General features: G+C 40.0%; 1 protein-coding gene across 3 annotated transcripts in view, besides 1 other annotated feature; it reads left to right on the top strand.

The window, feature by feature from the left end:
• Nucleotides 1-19,607, top strand: part of TRPM1 (transient receptor potential cation channel subfamily M member 1) — a 160,096-nt gene that overhangs the window by 135,747 nt on the left and 4,742 nt on the right. The window lies entirely within an intron of this gene.
• Nucleotides 714-1,008: an enhancer, noted in NCBI's record as "tiled region #8183; K562 Activating non-DNase unmatched - State 22:ReprW". NCBI's record gives its function as "activates a minimal TATA promoter and a strong SV40 promoter by Sharpr-MPRA in K562 cells {active_cell/tissue: K562}" and the evidence as "EXISTENCE:reporter gene assay evidence [ECO:0000049][PMID:27701403]".

Here is a 19,607-nt window from a genome sequence, read left to right as displayed (position 1 = left end):
ATTGCTCTACCCTAAGCTAGGAAAGAGCAACTGGCAAAGGGTAGACAGGAGCAATGGACCTTCACTGTCTGCACTTTTTATCACGTAAGTTTTGAGAGCCTTTATCATTTACTAAAAGCATTTTCAGCCTGCTAAAGATCTTGGTGACTGATAACACGCTGTTCCAAAGGGTTTCACTAACAACGTGGCCAGAAGGATGAGCTCAGAGGAGCCATGCCTAGCTCTGCTTTCTATCCTTGAGTACACAGAATTAAAGTTTCCTAACAGACACATTGAGAGCCATAAAAACAGGGTGGGACTTCAAAAAGATATTGCAGCTGACAGTTCCCAAACAATTACAACAGAATTCACAGATGCACCTTAGGTCTCCCTGGTGCATGTTGAGGCCAGTGAACTCTGCCCCAGCCCACAGGAGGGGAGATGGCAACTGTGGGTCCCTGGCCTCGGTTCCCTCCTAGACCCAGTCACCTTGTGACCCAACCAAATCCAACCAGCTAAACTCTAGGGTTACCTGCACCACCTTTCTTCCTTACCAAGGTGAATTTTTAATAAAACTTTGAAATGTTTCTTTGATGCTTTAACAGTAATTGCTAAACTTTCAAGGTATAAAAATTATTTCTTCATGAGAAAGTTAAGGTACCCCATGTAATCCAATTTCCACTTTTTAGTTAGACATTAACTTGAACGTAATTTTAACCAGTCATTTACAATGGAGATTGTGTTTTGTTTTGCTCTGCCTCCCCCTCTCCCTTCCCCGGCATTCCTTGGATTTTTACCATTCTTGGACCAAAGCTGCAAGAGTGTGGTTATCAGGTCACTACCAAATTGCATTTTTCTCTGGGGGCTCTGTGCACACGTAATAGGGATGAAAGTGTGTAGGGCAGAGAAAACATGCTGCTTCCTGTTTCCCTCGGCTGAGATCCCAGGAGCGATGGGAGCACATTCTTGCCCCTCCATTTCCCTTGGCCTTGTCAGGCTGACTCACAGGTGAATGCCCAAGACAGAAAGAGGAGAAGGCTTGAGGAGAAGGGAGTTTTCCTTCCCTCTTAGCCAAGCCAGCTGAGAAGCAAGGGATAAGGTGGGAGGATGGAAATAAAAGTAGCTATTTGGGCACCTGTGACTACTTTAAAAATCACACTTGAAGTACTCAAGCATTTCTGCCATTTCTTTAATATTCTTTCTATATAAAATTAGTTTTATTTTCTGCATCACCATTTCCCATTTGATGATTTTCCTGCTCTTCTCTCGGTCGTGTCTTCGCCAGCACTATTCAGTCTGTAGGGTCTGGTTAGGAGCATGTCAGCCCCTGCCTTGTCTCCCTGTTGTCTTGGTAGCTTTCAGAGCTGAGCTACCAATTCTCATGACTCAGTTTTACAGGCGTGTTCACACAGGATGGGTACCCATTAATCATTCTCCTCCACGCAGGGTGCTTTTAGTGCTTCTGTGCAGAAACCAAATTCATGGTTCTCTCCTAATGTTTGGAAATTTACCTATAAAATGCTAACAATTTAACCATTTATTTTTTCTCAAAAAGTTCCAACATTTTGTAAGATCCAACATTCAGTCCTGCAATGAGATTTGCAATACGATTCAGCATTGATTGACACAACACTGGGTCAGTCCTACCAACCACGCCCACTTAGATGTCATAGGGGCCCTGCTCTCAGGGTTCTCCTCCCAAACTTGCACTCCAGTCTCTGTGAATGGCATCGCCATTAAGCTCAGTTAGCAAACTGGCAAATCATTGTGGCACCTCCCTCTTCTTCACTAACAATCATCAAGTTCTGTTTACTTCCCCTCGTGAATACATCCTGATCCACTTATTTTTTTCATCCCTACCCCAACGCACCTAGTACAGGCTTCCATCATTTTCCACTTCCATTCCTGTAGCTGCCCCTACCTGAGCTCTCCATATTTGTTTCTGCTGTTTCAATCCATGTTGCACTGTCAGCTCTCATGGGGTCCTGTTCCCTCCTGCACTGGCTTTCCTGAAAAACCCTCTGTGGCCCCCACTGTCCTCAGGCCTGCAAGGCCCTGCCCTCTCTCTGGCTTTGCCATGCACTATCTTCTCCTTCATGCTCTGTATTCCATTTCTCTTTCATTTCCTCAAAGCACTGCTTCCTTCCTGCCACAGGGGCTCTGCATGGGCTGTGCCCTCTGTCTGATGCACCTCACCCTCCTTCCCTGCTCCTCTTCCTTGGATCTCTGCCCAAATGCCAATTCCTTATGGAAAACTTCACCACCTCACACCTTAGACTAGGTCAGGACCCTCAGGCCTTAAGCTGCATGAAGGCAGGGCCATGTCTGGGTTTGGTCCACCATGATATACCTAGAGCCTGCACATATCCACATAGTAGGAGCCAGACTTTTGTTTCTGTTTTTGTTTTTGTTTTTGTTTTTGAGACAAGGTCTCGCTCTGTGCCCAGTGCAGTGGCACAATCAGGTCTCACCACAGCCTCAACCTCCTGGACTCAAGCGAGCCTTCTGCATCAGCCTCTGAAGTAGCTGGGAATACATGTATGTGCCACCACGCCCAGCTAATTTTTTTTATTTTTTATTTTAGTAGAGAGGAAGTCTCACTGTGTTGCCCAGGCAGGTCTCAAACTCCTGGCCTCAGCAATCCTGCCTCAGCCTCGAGATTTTTTTGAACGAATGGATGACTTAAAAGCTTTTCTCCTGATTCGAATATAAATTTCTATCCCATCCTTAATGAGTTCCCTCATGGAATATCAAAAAGGAAACCAGCTATGCTCCCTCCAGGTTCAAGACACTGGTTTTACTATAAGGAAGTAGGAGCAGACTCAAGAGCCAAAGGATTGTGCCACAGGAAGGATAACAAGTGTTGGTGTTGGCACCATCTTTTTGCTCAAAGGGATAACATCAAAGAGCCATGAGGGCTGGTGGGATAAGAACATTTTATAAACAACTCCTTTTTTATTATTATTTGTAGAAACAGGGTCTCACTATGTTGCCCAGGCTGATCTCAAACTCCTGGGCTCAAGCTATCCTCCTGCCTCAGCCTTCCAAAATGCTGGGATTACAGGCATGGGCCACCATGTCTGGTCAACTTCTGGCAGCATGGCCAAAGTAGACCTCGTCAACCCATGTGTTCTGTCCTCATTGCTCCAGGAGAATATTTGGCAACATGAGTCCTTATCATTGGGAGATTTGAGGCTATCTGTGTCTTCTGCACATCCACTACGGAGCACACTGTTCTCTTTGTGGTTCAGCATCCCTTATCACAGGTTCACAGGTTCAAGAGCAATTGGGCTAGAAAGAATCTTTCCTGACAAAATTTTGTCAGAGACCCAACTTCCTTTTCTCAATGAGAATTATGTTATCCAGTGTGTTTTCCTTTTTTCCATGGCTTCAAGGAAGCTTAACACCAAACTTAATATTAAATTATCAAATATATTACTATAGGATTTTGAAATATGTGGGGTACGTTGCCTCTTCTCTGCTTTTTTTATATCGTCTACCTCCATTTACATACATTTTATTAATGTCTGACATTTCACAATATGCAGGATATAACTCATAAATTATACATTTTAAGTGTAGTTGGCCTTGTGCTTAAGAAGCTATGGGTCTTAGATGAGCTAAACCTATAATAGCATTTTCTGATTCCCCCAAAACTTTCTGGATTAAGTGGTTTCTTGTCAGATTTGTGGATATGGATTAAAGTGTTTTGTCTTTTTTTTTTTTTTTTTTAATTCTAGAGACAGGGTACTGCTTTGTTGCCCAGGCTGGAGTACAGTGGGATGATCATAGCTCACTACAGCCTCCAGTTCCTGGGCTCAAGTGAGTCTACTGCCTCAGCTTCCTGAGTAGCTGAGGCTACAGGCGTGCACCACCACACCCAGCTAATTTTTGCATATTTTGTAGATACAGGATCTCACTATGTTGCCCAGGCTGGTCTGGAACTCCTGGCCTCAAGCGGTCCTCCCGCCTTAGCCTCCCAAAGTGCTGGGATTACAGGCATGAGACATCATGCCCCATCCTGGATTGCCTGCAGGCTTGATGGGAAATCAGCAATTTGTGGCTTTGAAATCTTTTTATTTGGCATCCTCTTCCCATGTGACCAGAAAGAGAAATGGCTGGTAATGGAGACCTACCTAGAAGAAACAAGATAGTAACTAGAGGAACTGAAAGAGAGATCAGTCTTAGGAAGGAGGTGGGGGATTCTTTGCATGTAGAGAAGGTTGTAGAACGGCAAATGCGCAGTGATGGGGAAGACATTTGGGGATGATCCTGTCTGAATACCTTAATCTTCTAAATTCATAGGGTTCAAGGTTGCTTGGATAATAGGAAGGAGATGGCTTAAATGTTGAAATTTTGATGTGCCAGTGGATGACACCCTTGTTCCTGATCTGACTTTGAAAGCCAATTCAGAGACAGATGCAGACTTCAGGAGGATAGAGAAAAAAAAATCAGTTTTATTAGTAATAAAAGTTGTACTGGAGGGTGTGGCTTCGTTCTTGCCTACTACTCACCCAGAATTAGGAATACCCACTTAGCCACAGGCAGCACCAGCCACCACAGGCCTCGCTTCCCACAGGCAGAGTTTAGCCTGCGCGCTAAGCCTACCAGAAGACCAAGACAGAGAGACAAGCATGCAGTATCCTGGTCCCCAATCTCCAACCAAATGAGCCGTCCTCCTCCAAAATAAATAAAGGCCTGGAATGAGGTCAGAGCATTACTAATGAAAAGTCCACATACATAGAAAGAAAAACTAGGCATGGGCAAAGTGTACCTCTCCAACAATCAACATCACTGACTTAAAGCCAGTAGGAAGGATTCAAGTCAAGTGAGTTCACTTTTAGGGGGAATATGGCAGGAAAGGAGATAACCAGGATTGCTTGGCAGGAATAACAAAGATGCAAGTTAAATTAGATAACATGGCTTTGTACTGGGCCAGGTCAGTGTGGTTCCCATGACCTTCATCGGTGACACCGTACAGCCGAAAGGCAGGGATACAGAAAGACAACTGTACATACGGCATGGATGCTGAAGGAGGCCATGCGCCCAAAAACCAGTCTGTGGAGAGACCTCAAAGATGCTAGTGTTTGCAAATGGCAGCATAAACATACGACATTGCCTCCAGGCACCAAATATCCTTGCTTAGTCCTGGAGTCCTGGTAGCAATAGGTTGGGGGTTAGGGATTGGCACTAACGTGTTGCAAGTAAGGGAGAAAGAACATAGGTTATTAATGAGGGCTTCACTTCGTGGCCAACCACAGAATCTGGCCTGAATAGAAAACAGAACATAACCAGAAAAGGCTAATGATTAGATGACTTGAATTCTATAAACCCAGGAAGTCTGGGGTATGTTTAAATGAGGCAGCATACAGCTAGAATCCCAGAAAGCTTAATGTTCTTTTAGTAACTATTCAGTATACTGTTTATTACAGAGAATGAAAAAGCCAGAAGAAAGACATGAGTCTTGGCCGGGAGCAGTGGCTCACACCTGTAATCCTAGCACTTTGGGAGGCCGAGGTGGGCGGATCACTTGAGGTCAGGAGTTCAAGACCAACCTGGTCAACATGGTGCAACCCCTTTTCTACTAAAAATGCAAAAATTAGCCAGGTGTGGCAGCGAAAGGCCTGTAATCCCAGCACTTTGGGAGGCCAAGGTGGATCACTTGAGGTCAGGCGTTCAAGACCAACCTGGTCAACATGGTGAAACCCCGTTTCTACTAAAAATACAAAAATTAGCCAGGCATGGTGGCGAAAGCCTGTAATCCCAGCACTTTGGGAGGCCGAGGTGGGCAGATCACTTGAGGTCAGGAGTTCAAGACCAACCTGACCAATATGGTGAAATCCTGTCTCTACTAAAAATACAAAAATTAGCTGGGAGTGGTGGTAAGCATCTGTAATCCCAGCCACTCGGGAGGCTGAGGCAGGAGAATCTCTTGAACCCGAGAGGCGAAGGTTGCACTGAGCCGAGATAGTGCCACTGATTGCACTCCAGCCTGCGTGACAGAGACTCCCTCTCAAAAACAAACAAAAAAAAGAAAGACGTGAGTCTTGTTCTTTTATGATTAGTCTTCATTTAGTCTTTCACACATAAAAACTCTGTAAGTAAGCACAACAAGGTTCTATCCTGGTGTTCTTCCTATAACTACTAAATGTAAAAGGCAGCCCTGTATGAAGAAGTGGATGGAAATTAAAATAGCTGGATGTAAAATTTAGAGTGGATAAGACAACTTTATGATCAGTAGTTCTGGAATTAAATTATAGGGTAGGAATAGTTTTAGAACTCAAGTATAGAATACCATGGGATCTTGAAACAGGGGTTTCTTCAAGTATGAACTGGACCTAGCTCCACTAACATCATGTCTTTATGTTAACATTTAACTCTATCATTAAGGAAATGTTCCCATATAATTTATGAGATTCCTTGCAGGTGAAGGGCAACTGTTTCCCATGAAAAGATAACTGCATATAAAACAAGTTTTAGGCTGGGCACAGTGGCTCACGCCTGTAATCTCAGCACTTTGGGAGGCCAAGGTGGGCTGATTGCTTGGGGCCAGGAGTTCGAGATCAGCTTGGCCAACATGGCAAAACTCCATCTCTACTAAAATTACAAAATTAGCCGGGTGTAGTGGCACATGCCAGTAATCCCAGCTACTGAGGCACGAGAATCACTTGAACCGGAGAGGCGGAGTTTGCAGTGAGCCAAGATTGCACCCCTGCACTCCAGCCTGGGCAACAGAGTGAGACTCTGTCTCAAAAATTTAAAAAGGCCAGGTGTGGTGGTTCATCCCTGTAATCCAGCACTTTGGGTGCTGAGGCAGGTGGATCACCTGAGGTCAGGAGTTAGAGAGCAGCCTGACCAACATGGTGAAACCCCGTCTCTACTAAATACAAAAAATTAGCTGGGCATGGTGGCGCATGCCTGTAATCCCAGCTACTTGGGAGGCTGAGGCAGGAGAATTGTTTGAACCCAGGAGGCATAGGTTGCAGTGAACCGAGACTGCACCATTGCACTCCAGCCTGGGCAACAAAAGTGAAAGTCTGTCTCAAAAATAAAATGAAAAATAAAATAAATTTAAAATTTAAAAGGCCAAGTGTGGTGGCTCACGCCTGTAATCCCAGCACTTTGGGAGGCCGAGGCGGGCAGATCACCTGAGGTCAGGGGTTCGAGACCAGCCTGACCAACATGGTGAAACCCCATCTGTACTAAAAATTCAAAAATTGCCAGGCGTGGTGGCACATGCCTGAAATCCCAGCTGTTTGGGAGGCTGAGGCAGGAGAGTTGCTTGAACTCGAGAGGCAGAGGTTGCAGTGAGCCGAGGTCGCACCACTGCACTCCAGCCTGGGCGATAGAGCGAAACTCCATCTCAAAAATAAAATAAAATAATAAATAAATAAACAAATAAATAAAATTAAATAAAACAGGTTTTAACAACTGGCTTACTACAGAACTCCAGATGTTTCAGTCCTTCCTAGGAAAGACACACAGGGACTCTTACCACAAGGACATGAGTTTGGACCTTATGTTTAATAGACAAGAGTCTATGCAAAGTCCAATAAAGTTATGCCATACATAGGTATTCTCTTGGAAGTTAATGCAAAAGTTCCACAAATTCAGGTATTGCCATACCTATTATTTGAATGAAACAGAACACATTATGTACAACCCCTTAACAAAAAGTATGTTTTCATTTAACCACCTTCAGGCTTAGTGGCATCATGTTCAAAATCAAATATCCTTAATAATAGATATACCCCAATATAGAGAAGATTTGCAATGATATTCACACAGCCATGTCCTTTGACACTTGTGTAGCATTTACAGTTCACAGAGCACACAGTTTCATTTAATTCATTTAATTTAGTTGCTGTCATGCTGCAACTGTTGTTAATGTTTGATAAATCACTCCCCAGGGACAGAAGTACAATAAAGAGGGGCTGGTGGAGTAGCTTCATCCCGAATGCCAATGTGGATGGGCACATCTCAAAGGGAACACTGACACTGGCCATATGTTAATCAGAAACAGCTTTTGTTTTTTCTCAAAACCAAATTAAACAAAAAGAGTCATGACATGTAATATCAGTTGTTAATCTGGTACAATCTTTTACTCTATTTTATTTATGTATTTTGAGACAGAGTCTTGCTCTGTCGCTCAGGCTGGAGTGCAGTGGCGTGATCTCGGCTCACTGCAACCTCCGCCTCCCGGGTTCAAGCAACCTTTGTCCTGCCTCAGCCTCCCGAGTAGCTGGGACTACAGACGCACGCCACCATGTCCGGCTAATTTTTGTAGTTTTAGTAGAGACGGGGGTTTCACCATGTTGGTCAGGCTGGTCTCGAACTCCTGACCTCAGGTGATCTGCCCACCTTGGCCTCCCAAAGTGCTAGGATTACAGGCGTGAACCACCACAACCGGCCGACTTTCTTAATTTAAAAAACAAGTTTTTTTTTTGTGTGTGTGTGTGTGTGTGTGTGTGTACGCCAGGTTTTGAGACTGATTAGGGCATTCAGGTGTATCCTTTTAACAGAAAAGCCCAAAGATTTAATCTGTGAGTCAAAAGATGAATATGGGCGTGGAGGATCACAGCTATTATTAATCATGACTGATTAAGCACATGCGGTTCTGGGCTCCTCGTGACTTTAGTAGCAGTACACATGATGCAGTTAAGGACAGAGCAAATATTGTAATAAATCAAGTGCAGCTTAAATTTCTATTCAAAGTCAGGAGAATGATTAATTGGGGCCCAGACAGTTTATAGATTTCATTTGTTTATAGTTTCCTTTGATACAAAAGGATGGAGAGTGGCCCTCAGGAATTGCTCTTAGGCCTGCCAGTTAAGAAATCATGTATTTGGTGGTTAGAAAAATGGCCTCATTAATGACCTTTTCAAAAGTATTCATAAGTGGAATTTTTTTCTGTGAAGTCAGTGCTACCATAATGTGAAAAATAAAAACCTAGTGGAGCTATTTATAGCATCTACAAGTAAATCCAAACCCAGAAATAGTTACAGAAGCCACAAACTTCAATTAGAGGGAAAGGAAGATAATCAACCTGATCAGAAATCAGTGTCACCATGTGTAAGAAAGCACACTTTGCATCACAAAAGTACCACTATTCAAAGAAATCATTTATTAGTGCTGAATACTTGTTATACTAAAAACATAGTTATAAGTTATTTCACTATGTGATTTGAAATATTTGAGGGTATTGGCATATTTTGTAAAGTGAATATTATTTTGAAAAATTTCGCAAACCCTATAATAAATAACACAGCCATGATAATCTAATTAAATCATGCCTAAAGCCAGGATAGTAACGTACGTTTACATGCAATGGCTGAGGTCCCTGACATCACCAAGACAGCTTTCATTTATCTAGTTCTTCCACAAACATCAGAGGTAGCTGAAAGCTCTAGGACAGGTTTTCTCACAGCTGGGGTCATCAAATGCCTTGGCATTTGGGGTTCTCAAGTTCTAAGATTATTTTATTTTTTAATTTTGATGATGACGGCATGTTTGCAAAGGGTCCTTGAGGAAATGTGGGGATGAAGAACAAGATGAGACAGGATGGGAAGATGAGGGCAGATTCTCAAGAGCTTTGAATGTATATGAGTAACAGAAATCTCTATAGGGTGTTAAGATTAAGGGCTGCCATGGATGGAAGGAAAGAGTTAAAGCTACATTTTCATAGCACTTTACATAGTATGAGGAAGTGTCAATGTCCAAATTGTAGAATAGGGTTGCCAATGGAGATTATAAGGTTTTCCTTTAATACACTCTTTGGTTTGTTCATTGCATTCAACACTGCAATGAAATTGTGTTTTTATCTTAAGTGTGATGGGAAGCTGCTATTGTTTTAAAGCAAAGATTGACGTGCTTGTGTTTCTGTGCTATCTTTTTGGAGTGAGAAGACATTGGAGGCAAAGAGGCTGTTCCTTATAACTAACATTTTTTGCTTTATCAGCTTGGGGTACAACATGAGGTCATATATCTTTTTTCTTTTTCTCTTCTTTTCTTTTTTTTTTTTTTAAGACGGAGTCTCGCTCTGTCACCCAGGCTGGAGGGCAATGGCATGATCTCGGCTCACTGCAGCCTCCGCCTCCCAGGTTCAAGCAATTCTCCTGCCTCAGCCCCCAAGTGGCTGGGATTACAGGCGCATGCCACCGTGCCCAGCTAATTTATTATTTTTATTTTTTAGTAGAGATGGGGTTTTGCCACGTTGTTCAGACTGGTCTGGAACTCCTGACCTCAGGTGATCCACCTGCCTCTGCCTCCCAAATGCTGGGATTACAGGCGTGAGCCACCGTGCCCAGCCAAGGTTATATATCTTTTAATATTAAATGAAATTATTCTTTGACCTCATCTCATCTGCTTATAATCTCATCTGTTTATTCCAAGAGTACCTTTTTCCCTTTCTATTGTCCCATAGCCCCACCCCCACCCCCTGCCTCAAGTCAGGTGCAGGAAATCCAGTGGTCTGGTGAAGTCCCTACCCACTGCATCAAAATTCAAGAGGGTGAAGTCAATCGTTGCTCTTTGCTTTGATTTGAGCCCCAGCTTTCTGGTTGGAGGATAGAAAACGGAAACTCTGAGGAACTGGAGATATCAGGGAGATAGTGAGAGGGGGAACTTGGAAAAGTAATGCCATAAAGTTATGAACTCCAGAGCTCACCTGCAGACTGTGTCTGTCAGGGGTGGAGGAGTCTGCTCCTTATTCACATACCAAAGGCATTGAATGGGGTGACATGAACAAAAGCAGGTAGAGTAAGGAACTCTGGAATTCTGCCCCACCATAAAAGCAACAACAAAGTTGGCAAAAACTGTCAGAGTCTATATCTTGTGGCACTCTGGAAATTAAGCAATGGCTTATTAAGCAACCTAGGGCATTCTTATTTAAACAAAATGGCTGGATCTTGATAAGAAAAGTGAGCTTTGTGACATTTTAACTTAGCCCTGTCCTATCCTCTGCTCTCCAGTTGAGTAGTCACCTTGAAAACAACAACCTGCATTCCTAGTACCAGTAGGAGCAGAAAGAATCTCATATGCAAAGAATTATAATTACTTGTTTTGTAATTACAGGGCAGCTCCTTGAAAGCCTAGCTGAAAGGTTCGTCTGTATTTCACCTGAGTTGGAACAGGCCCAGTACTAAAGCTTCTAGTTAGAAGGGGTGGAGGAAGGGTTGTCAAAAACATTTACAGGCAAAGGGTTTAGTGCTTGCTCCCTGAGGTGACGGATGACAGCTGGGGCAAACAATAGACTAACCAAAAAACTAGGGAGAAAAACTGATGTCCATAAGAGCTTTGAAAAGCTCTAACACATTCCTGGGAATTTAGAAAGCTATGTGCATGCATAGGGCTGTGTGTATACTCAGGAAGACCTGAGAAGGCTATAAGCTCATTTCTGGCTGACTTGATCTTGAGGCTCTGTGCAAGCAGGAAGTGAAAGCTAAAGCAAAGATGTAAACTGCCTGAGTGTTGAAGATGTGCCCCTATATACACATACAGCTTCTCAGAAAAGACTAGAAGATTTTGTTGTTTTTGTTCCACACATTTAAGGAAATCTCTAAGTATTAACTGACCACTAAGCTAATAAAATACAAACTTCAGTGGCCACACAACATAAAGAATATAGACTTTACAATATTATTTCAGAAAAATCACTAAGCAAACAACAACTACAAAAATCACTAAACAAACAACAAACAACAACTACACTAAACAAACAACAACTACACTAAGCAATAACAACAAGCCTGAGAGGGGAGAGAATCTGATTTCTAGAATTGCCACATTATAATACTCAACATGTCCACTTTTAAATAAAAATGACAAAACATGCAAAGAAATAAGAAACTATGGTCCACACACAGGAAAAAGGACAATCTTAAAAACCATCCCTTAGGAATCCTGGATATTAGATGTTTTAGCAAAGAGTTTAACTCAACTATTTTAGCTATTTTAAATATATTTAAAGACCTAAAGGAAATCATCTCTAAAGAACTAAAGGAAAGTATGAGAAGGATTTTTCACCAAATAAGGGACTATCAATAAAGAGGTGGAAATTATATCAAGTAGTAGACGAGGTCTCAAAAAAAAAGAGGTAGAAATTATATATATTTTTAAAAAAATAGGTCAGGCACAGTGACTCATGCCTGTAATCCCAGAGCTTTGGGAGACCAAGGAGGGAGGATTGCTTGAAGCCAGGAGTTCAAGACCAGCCTGGGCAACAGAGCAAGACACCATCTACATAAAATCATTTTTAAAACTGGACAGGCATGGTGGTGCATATCATGGCAACTGGCAGAGCATGGTGGTGCCGGTAGTCCTAGCTACTTGGGAGGCTGAGGTGGGAGGATTGCTTGAGCCCAGGAATTCAAGGCTGCAGTGAGCTGTGATCTTGCCACTGCATTCCAGCCTGGACAATAGAGCAAGACAGTGTCAAAAAAAAAAAAGAAAAAAAAAAAGAAAAAGAAAGAAATGAAGGAAGGGAAGGAAATTCTGACATTGGAAAGTACAATAACTGAAATGAAAAATTCACTCTAGAGGCCCAATAGCACATTTGAGCAGGTAGATTAAAGAATCAGCAAACTGGAAGATAAATCAGTTAAAAATTACCCAGTCTAAGGAACAGGGGGAGGAAATGAAGAGAAATTGAACAGTCTGAAACCTGTAGAACACCATCCAGCAGAACAACATAGGCATCATGAGAGTTATAGAAAGAGAGAAGGGAAACTGGCAGAAACAATATTTAAAGAAATAATGGCCAAAATTTTACAAATTTAATGAAAGATACGAATCTACATATCCAAGAAGCTCAATGAACTCCAAGTAGGATAAACTCAAGGAGATCCATACCAATTAACGTTATAGTCAAACTGTTAAAAGCCAAAGGAAAAGAATCTTGAAAGCAGCAAGAGAGAAGCAACTCATCACATGGAAAGGATGCTTAATTAGATTAAAAAAGCTGACCTCTCATCAGAAGCCAGGAAGACCAGAAGACCTTGGGATGACATAGTCAATGTGCTGAAAGCAAAACAATGTCCACTAAAAATTATATATGCAGCAAAACTATCCTTTAAAAATGAAGGATAAATTAAGATATTCCCAGATAACCAAGAACTGAGAGAATTCATTACTAGCAAACCTACTATGAGGGATACTAAAGATAGTTTTTCAGGCAGAAATGAAAAGACATAAGACAATAACCTAAGATCCACATGAAGAAATAAAGAGGACCAGTAAATTTAACTACATAGGTAAATATAAAAGGCATTATAAATGTATTTTTTGTTTGTAACTACTTTTTATTTTCTACATGATTTACAAGACAACCACATAAAGCAATCATTACAAATCTATGTTGATGGGTACACAATGTACAAAGTTGTAACTTGTGATAATAACAGAATAACATGGGGGGAGGATGGAGCTTTATAAGAGTAAACTTTGTGTATATTATTGAAAATAATTGGTGTTAGGCCAGATGCAAGGGCTCACACCTCTAATCCCAGCACTTTGGGAGGCGAAGGCAGGTGGATCACCTGAGGTCGAGAGTTCAAGACCAGCCTGGCCAACATAGTGAAACCCCATCTCTATTGAAAATACAAAAATTAGCCTGTGTGGTGGCACATGCCTGTAATCCCAGCTACTCAGGAGGCTGAGGCACGAGAATCACTTGAACCTAGGAGGCAGAGGTTGCAGTGAGCTGAGATCTTGCCACTGCTCTTCAGCCTGGGCAACAGAGTGACACTCCATCTCAAAAAAAAAAAAAAAAGTAATTGGCATTAAATTAAAGTAGACTGTTATAAATTAAGATGTTACTGATAATCCCCAGGGCAAGCACTAAGAAAATAACTGAAAAACATATGATAAAAGAAAGAACAAGAGCCAGGTGTGGTAGTGCATGCCTGTAGTCCCAGCCACTCAAGAGGTTAAGGCAGGAAGATCACTTAAGCCCAGGGGTTCAAGGCCAGCCTAGGAAACATAGCAGGGCCCCATATCTTAAAAAAGAAAAGAAATACTAAGTGAATTAAAATGATACACTAGAAAATACCTATTTAACACAGAAGAAAGCAGTAATGATGGAGTTGAGGGACAAAAAAAAAGACATAACATATAGAAAATAAATAGCAGTATGGCAGAGGTAAGTTCTTCCTTACCAGTAATTATATTAAATGTAAATAGATAAAGCTCTCTAAGACAGAGACTAGCACAATGAATATTTAAAATATGGTGTAATTACATGCTATCTGCAGAGACTCACTTCAGATTCAAAGATTTTTAAAGTTTTAAAGTAAAAGGATGGATAAAGACATTTCATGCAAACAGTAATAAAAAAATAGTTGGAGTGGCTACACCTATCAGGTAAAATAGACTCTAAGACAAATATTGTTACTAGAGACAAAGAAGGACATGATAGACATGATATAATGATTAAAAAGGTAACTATATCAAAAAGATATAACAATTATAAACATATATGCACCCAATAGCAGAGCCTCATAAGATATGAAGCAAAAACTGACAGAATTGAAGGGAGAAGCAGATAGTTCTCAAATAATAGTTGTAGGCTCTAATATTCAACTTTCACTAATATTAGAACTAGACAGAAGTTCATTAAGAAAATAGAAGCCTTAGCCAATACTATATGCCAACTCAAGGTAACAGACATCAGTAGAACACTCAATGACAGCAAAATATATATTCATTTTATAAGCATATGGAACATTTTCCAAGATACATCATCTGTTAGGCCATAAAACAAGTCTCAATAAGTTTTAAAAAGATTTAAGTTAAACAAAGTGTATTCTCAGGCCACAACAAAATAAAATGATAAATTAATAACAAATGAAAATTTGGAAAATTTACAAATATGTGACAATTAAACAATACACTCTTAAATAATCAATAGATCAAAGAAGAAATCACAAGAGAAATTAGAAAATACTTCAAGGCGAACAAAATGAAAACACAATATACCAAAATTTATGGGATACAGTAAAAGCAGTATTCAGAAGGATATTTATAACTATAAAGACCCACATGTAAAAAGAAGAAAGATCTCAAAGACAGTAAGAACTGAAGTAATGACCAGACTGCTACCAAGGTCCCAGACTGACTACTGGGCTGCACGCACATAGGTCAGATCTCAATAGCACTACAAAGACTTTGAAAACTGAACTGGCATTGGAATCACAGTCCACAGAAAGCATGTCAGAACTTGCAGCCTGAAACTAACCAGGTTGATCACCTGCTAAAACAAAACAAATCAACATTCTCCATGAAAATTAAACAAGATTCAGAGTCATGTGGTATAATATTCAAAATGTCAGGCTACAATCCAAAATCATTTGGAGTATGCAGAATATAGAAAATCTCAACTCACCTGGGGAAAAAAGACAATCAGTAAATGTCAATGTCAAGATAACACAGATGTTGAAATTATCTGACAAAGGCTTTAAAGCAGCTATTAGGAAAATGCTTTAACAAAATTGCAAAGGCTCTGGAAACTAATAGAAAACTAGAAAGTCTCAGAGAAAGAATAGAAGATATTAAGAAAATTCAAAGAAAATTTTACCAAAAAATAAAGTAAGTGCAATGAAAAATTCATTGGATAGGCTCAATAGCAAAACAGGGATTACAGAGGAGAGAGTAAACTTGAAGATATTACAACAGAAAATTACTCAATTTGAACAAGAGAGTAAATGGGCTAAAGAAAAAGCCCAAAGCCTCAGAGAAGTGTGGGGCAATAACAAAAGGTATAACATTTGTATTATAAGAGTCCCAGAAGAGAAAGAGCATGATGCAGAGAAACTACTTGAAGAAATCACTGAAAACCTCCCAAGTTTGATCAAAGACGTAAACCCACAGATTAAATAAATGTAGAGAATGCTAAATAGGACTAACTCAAATGAATCCATATCAAATGAAGGGCCACAAACTAAAGACAGAGGGAAAAAAATTGACAGCAAAGAAAAAAATTGACCAGAGAAAAATGATACATTACTTACTGGAGAACAGTGATTTGAATGATGGCAGATTTCTCATCAGAAACCTTGGAGGTCAGAAGGAAGTAGCACTATGTTTTTAATTTTAAATTTTATTTATTTTTTGAGCCGAGGTCTCCTGTGTTGCCCAGACTGAACTCAAACACCTGGGCTCAAGCAACCCTCCCACCACAACCTCCCGAGTAGCTGGGATTACAGGCACAGGTCACCATGGCCTGCATTATGTTTTTAAAGTGCTGAAAGAAAAAAATGATCAACCCAGAATTACATACTCAACAAAAACATTCTTCAAAAATGAAAGTGAAAAAAAAAATCAGACAAAGAATTCATTGCTAGCAGACCAATTCTAAAAGAATAACTATAGGAAATTCTTCAGACAGAAGGAAATGATACCAGAATTGAACTTGGAACATCAAAAATGAAAGAAGAGCATCAGAAATAATAAATATGTTGATAAACATAAAGATGAGTCTTCTCTTTCTGAGTTCTTTAAAGTATATTTGACAGTCAAAAGCAAAAATTGCCATACTGTCTGATGGCATTTTCAATATATGTGGATACAATATATGACAACTGCAGCACAAAGGGCTATGGGAAAGGGACCTGTATGGTAGTAATGTTCCTACATTCAAATTGAAGTGGTAAAATACTGATGCTATGTATACTGTGAAATGTTGCTATCTATTTGTAATCCCTAAAACAACCACTGTAAAATGTATAGTAAATGCTGTGGTCACTTCCCACCTCATTTCCTGAGGCCATCATCACCATGATACCAAAACCAGACAAAGACAATTGAAAAAAGAAAACTACAGACCAATATTCCTCATGAACATAGACACAAAAATTCACAACAAAATACTAGCAAATTGAGTCTAGCCACGATCAGGTAGTTTATCCCAGGAATAAAAGGCTAGGTCAATATTTGAAAACAATCAATGTAATCCACCATATTAATGATTTAAAGGAAAAAACCCTATATGTTTCTAGCAATTGGTGCAGAAAAAGCATTTGATGAAATTCAACATCATGATGATAAAAATACATTTTATAAAAGTCTCTCAGCAAACTAAGAACAGAAGAGAACCTCCTTAATCTGACAAATGGCATTTACATAAAATCTATAGCTAACATGGTGAAAGACAGACTGCTTTCTCCCTAAAACTGGGAACAAGGAAGGATGGCCACTCTCACCACTTCAACAGTGTACTGGAAGTCTTAGGCCATGCAATAAGGCAAGGAAAAAAAGTCTTCTGTCTTGGAGAGAAATACATAAATACATAAAACCATTCCTATTTATAGATGATTATCTATGTAGAAAATCACATAAAATCTTTAAAAAACAAAATGAAACAAATGAAAACGTCCTAGAATTAATAAGTGAATTTAACAAGGCTACAGAGTACAAAGTCAACAAAAATTAATCTTATTTCTATATACCATCAGTGTGTAATTGAACATTGGAATTTTTAAAATAATACCATTCTCACAGAGCTCCAACAAAAATGAAATACTTAGGTATAAATCTCGTAAAATACGTATGGGATCTATATGCAGAAAACTACAAAGTGCTGATGAAAGAAATCAAAGATCACTTAAATAAATGGGAGGATATACCATATTCATGTATTGGAAGACTCAACGTGGCACAGATGTCAGTTCTCCCCAAGTTTATCTGTAGATTTAACACAATACCAATCAAAATCCCAGCAGGATATTTTGTAGATATAGGTCAACTGTTGTTGTTGTTGTTGTTGTTGTTGTTGTTGTTGTTGTTGTTGCTGCGCTGCTGTTGTTATAGACGAAGTCTCCCTATGTTTCCCAGGCTGGTCTCAAACTCCTGAGCTCAAGCAATCCTCCTACCTCAGTCTCCCGAAGCACTGGGATTGTAGGCATGAGCCACTGTGCCCAGCTATGTCAACTTATTTTGAAAATTAAATGGAAAGGCCAAGGAACTAGACTATGTAAAACAATTTTGAAAAAGAAGAATAACATTAGAGGAATCACACTATCCAGTTTTAAGGCTTACTGTGAAGCTACAGTAATGAAGACAGTGTGGTCTTGGTGAAGGGTCCAACACATACATAAATGGAACAGAATAAAGAGTCCGGGAGTAGATCTACCCAAATAGAGATAATTGATTTCTTTCCCCAAAGGTGCAAAACTAATTCAACGACGAATGGATCATCTTTTCAACTAATGGTGTTAGGACAGTTTGACATTCTTATGCAAAAAATGATCTCAACACATACAAAAATTAACTAAAAATGGATCATAGATCTAAACATAAAACACAAAACTATAAAATGTTTGGAAGAAAACATAAGAGAAAATCTTCACAACTTGGGAATAGACAAAGGATTCTTCAATGCAACACCAAAAGCATAATCATGTCAATCATATATCTGACAAAAGACTTTTATACAAAATATCTAAAGAACTCTAAAACCCATAATATGGAAAAAATGGCCCAATAAAAAAATGAGCTAAGGATTAGACTAGACACACCAGAGAGGACATAAGGTTGTTAAATATGTACATAAAAAGATGCTCAACATCATTAGCTATCAGTGAAATGAAAATTAAAACCAGAATGAGATATATCTACACACCGAATACAAGAGCTAAAAATAAAAAAAATTAAAAATAACAATAGCCAAGAAGGATGCTGAGCAACTGGAATTTGCATACACTGCTAGTAGGAATAAAAAATTGTACAGCCACTCTGAAAAATGGTTGGGCAGTTGCTTATAAAGTTAAACATACATTTACCCTATGAATCAGCAATCTCGGCTATTTAACTCCTAGGTATTTATCCTACAGAAATGAAAACATGTTCACACAAAACCTGTACATGAATGTTTATAGCAGCTCTTTTCATACTTGCCAAATAATGGAAACAACCCAAATGTCCTTCAACAGGTGCTGTGGCACATCCATATTAGAAATATATCTTTGCCAGGCTTGGTGGCTCATGCCTGTAATCCCAGCACTTTGGGAGGCTAAGGCAGGTGGATCACCTGAGGTCAGGAGTTCGAGGCCAGCCTGGCCAACATGGCAAAACCCCGTCTCTACTAAAAATACAAAAATTAGTCAGGCATGGTGGCGGGCGCCTGTGATCCCAGCTACTTGGGAGGCTGAGGCAGGAGAATCGCTTGAACCTGGGAGACAGAGGTTGCAGTGAGCGGAAATTGCGCCACTGTACTCTAGTCTGGGCAACAGAGCAAGACTCCGTCTCAAAAAAAAAAGAAAAGAAAAGAAAAGAAATCTTTAAGAGAGCATCAACCTTAATTAAAGGGAAAGCCAAGTGAATTACTTGGATCTGGAATGCTTCTGTATTCTGTAATGTGCTGAAAAATATTTTTCACTCTGTGCTGAAAGGAAAGCTGGATTAAGACTTAGAAAGCTACACAAATAACTTCTTTGCTGATTAATCATATCTCACTATGAGCTCTATCATGCATGATGGATTCTCTTGTGTTTTTATGCCATTCAATGTGTAAATAGATGTGGGGCTCTTGTCAAATTGATTCCTAGATAGCCTTTCTCTGTCTGAAATGGAAACCACTCTTTGTGTGGGTGTCAAGGTTTGTGAAACATGTTTTAAATAATTATGGGAAGTCACCA

This window comes from Homo sapiens, chromosome 15 (genome assembly GCF_000001405.40).
Source record: "Homo sapiens chromosome 15, GRCh38.p14 Primary Assembly".
Classification (NCBI taxonomy): Eukaryota; Metazoa; Chordata; class Mammalia; order Primates; family Hominidae; genus Homo; species Homo sapiens.
The sequence above is the reverse complement of the archived record's forward strand: the minus strand, read 5'-3'. Positions and strand labels throughout refer to the sequence as shown.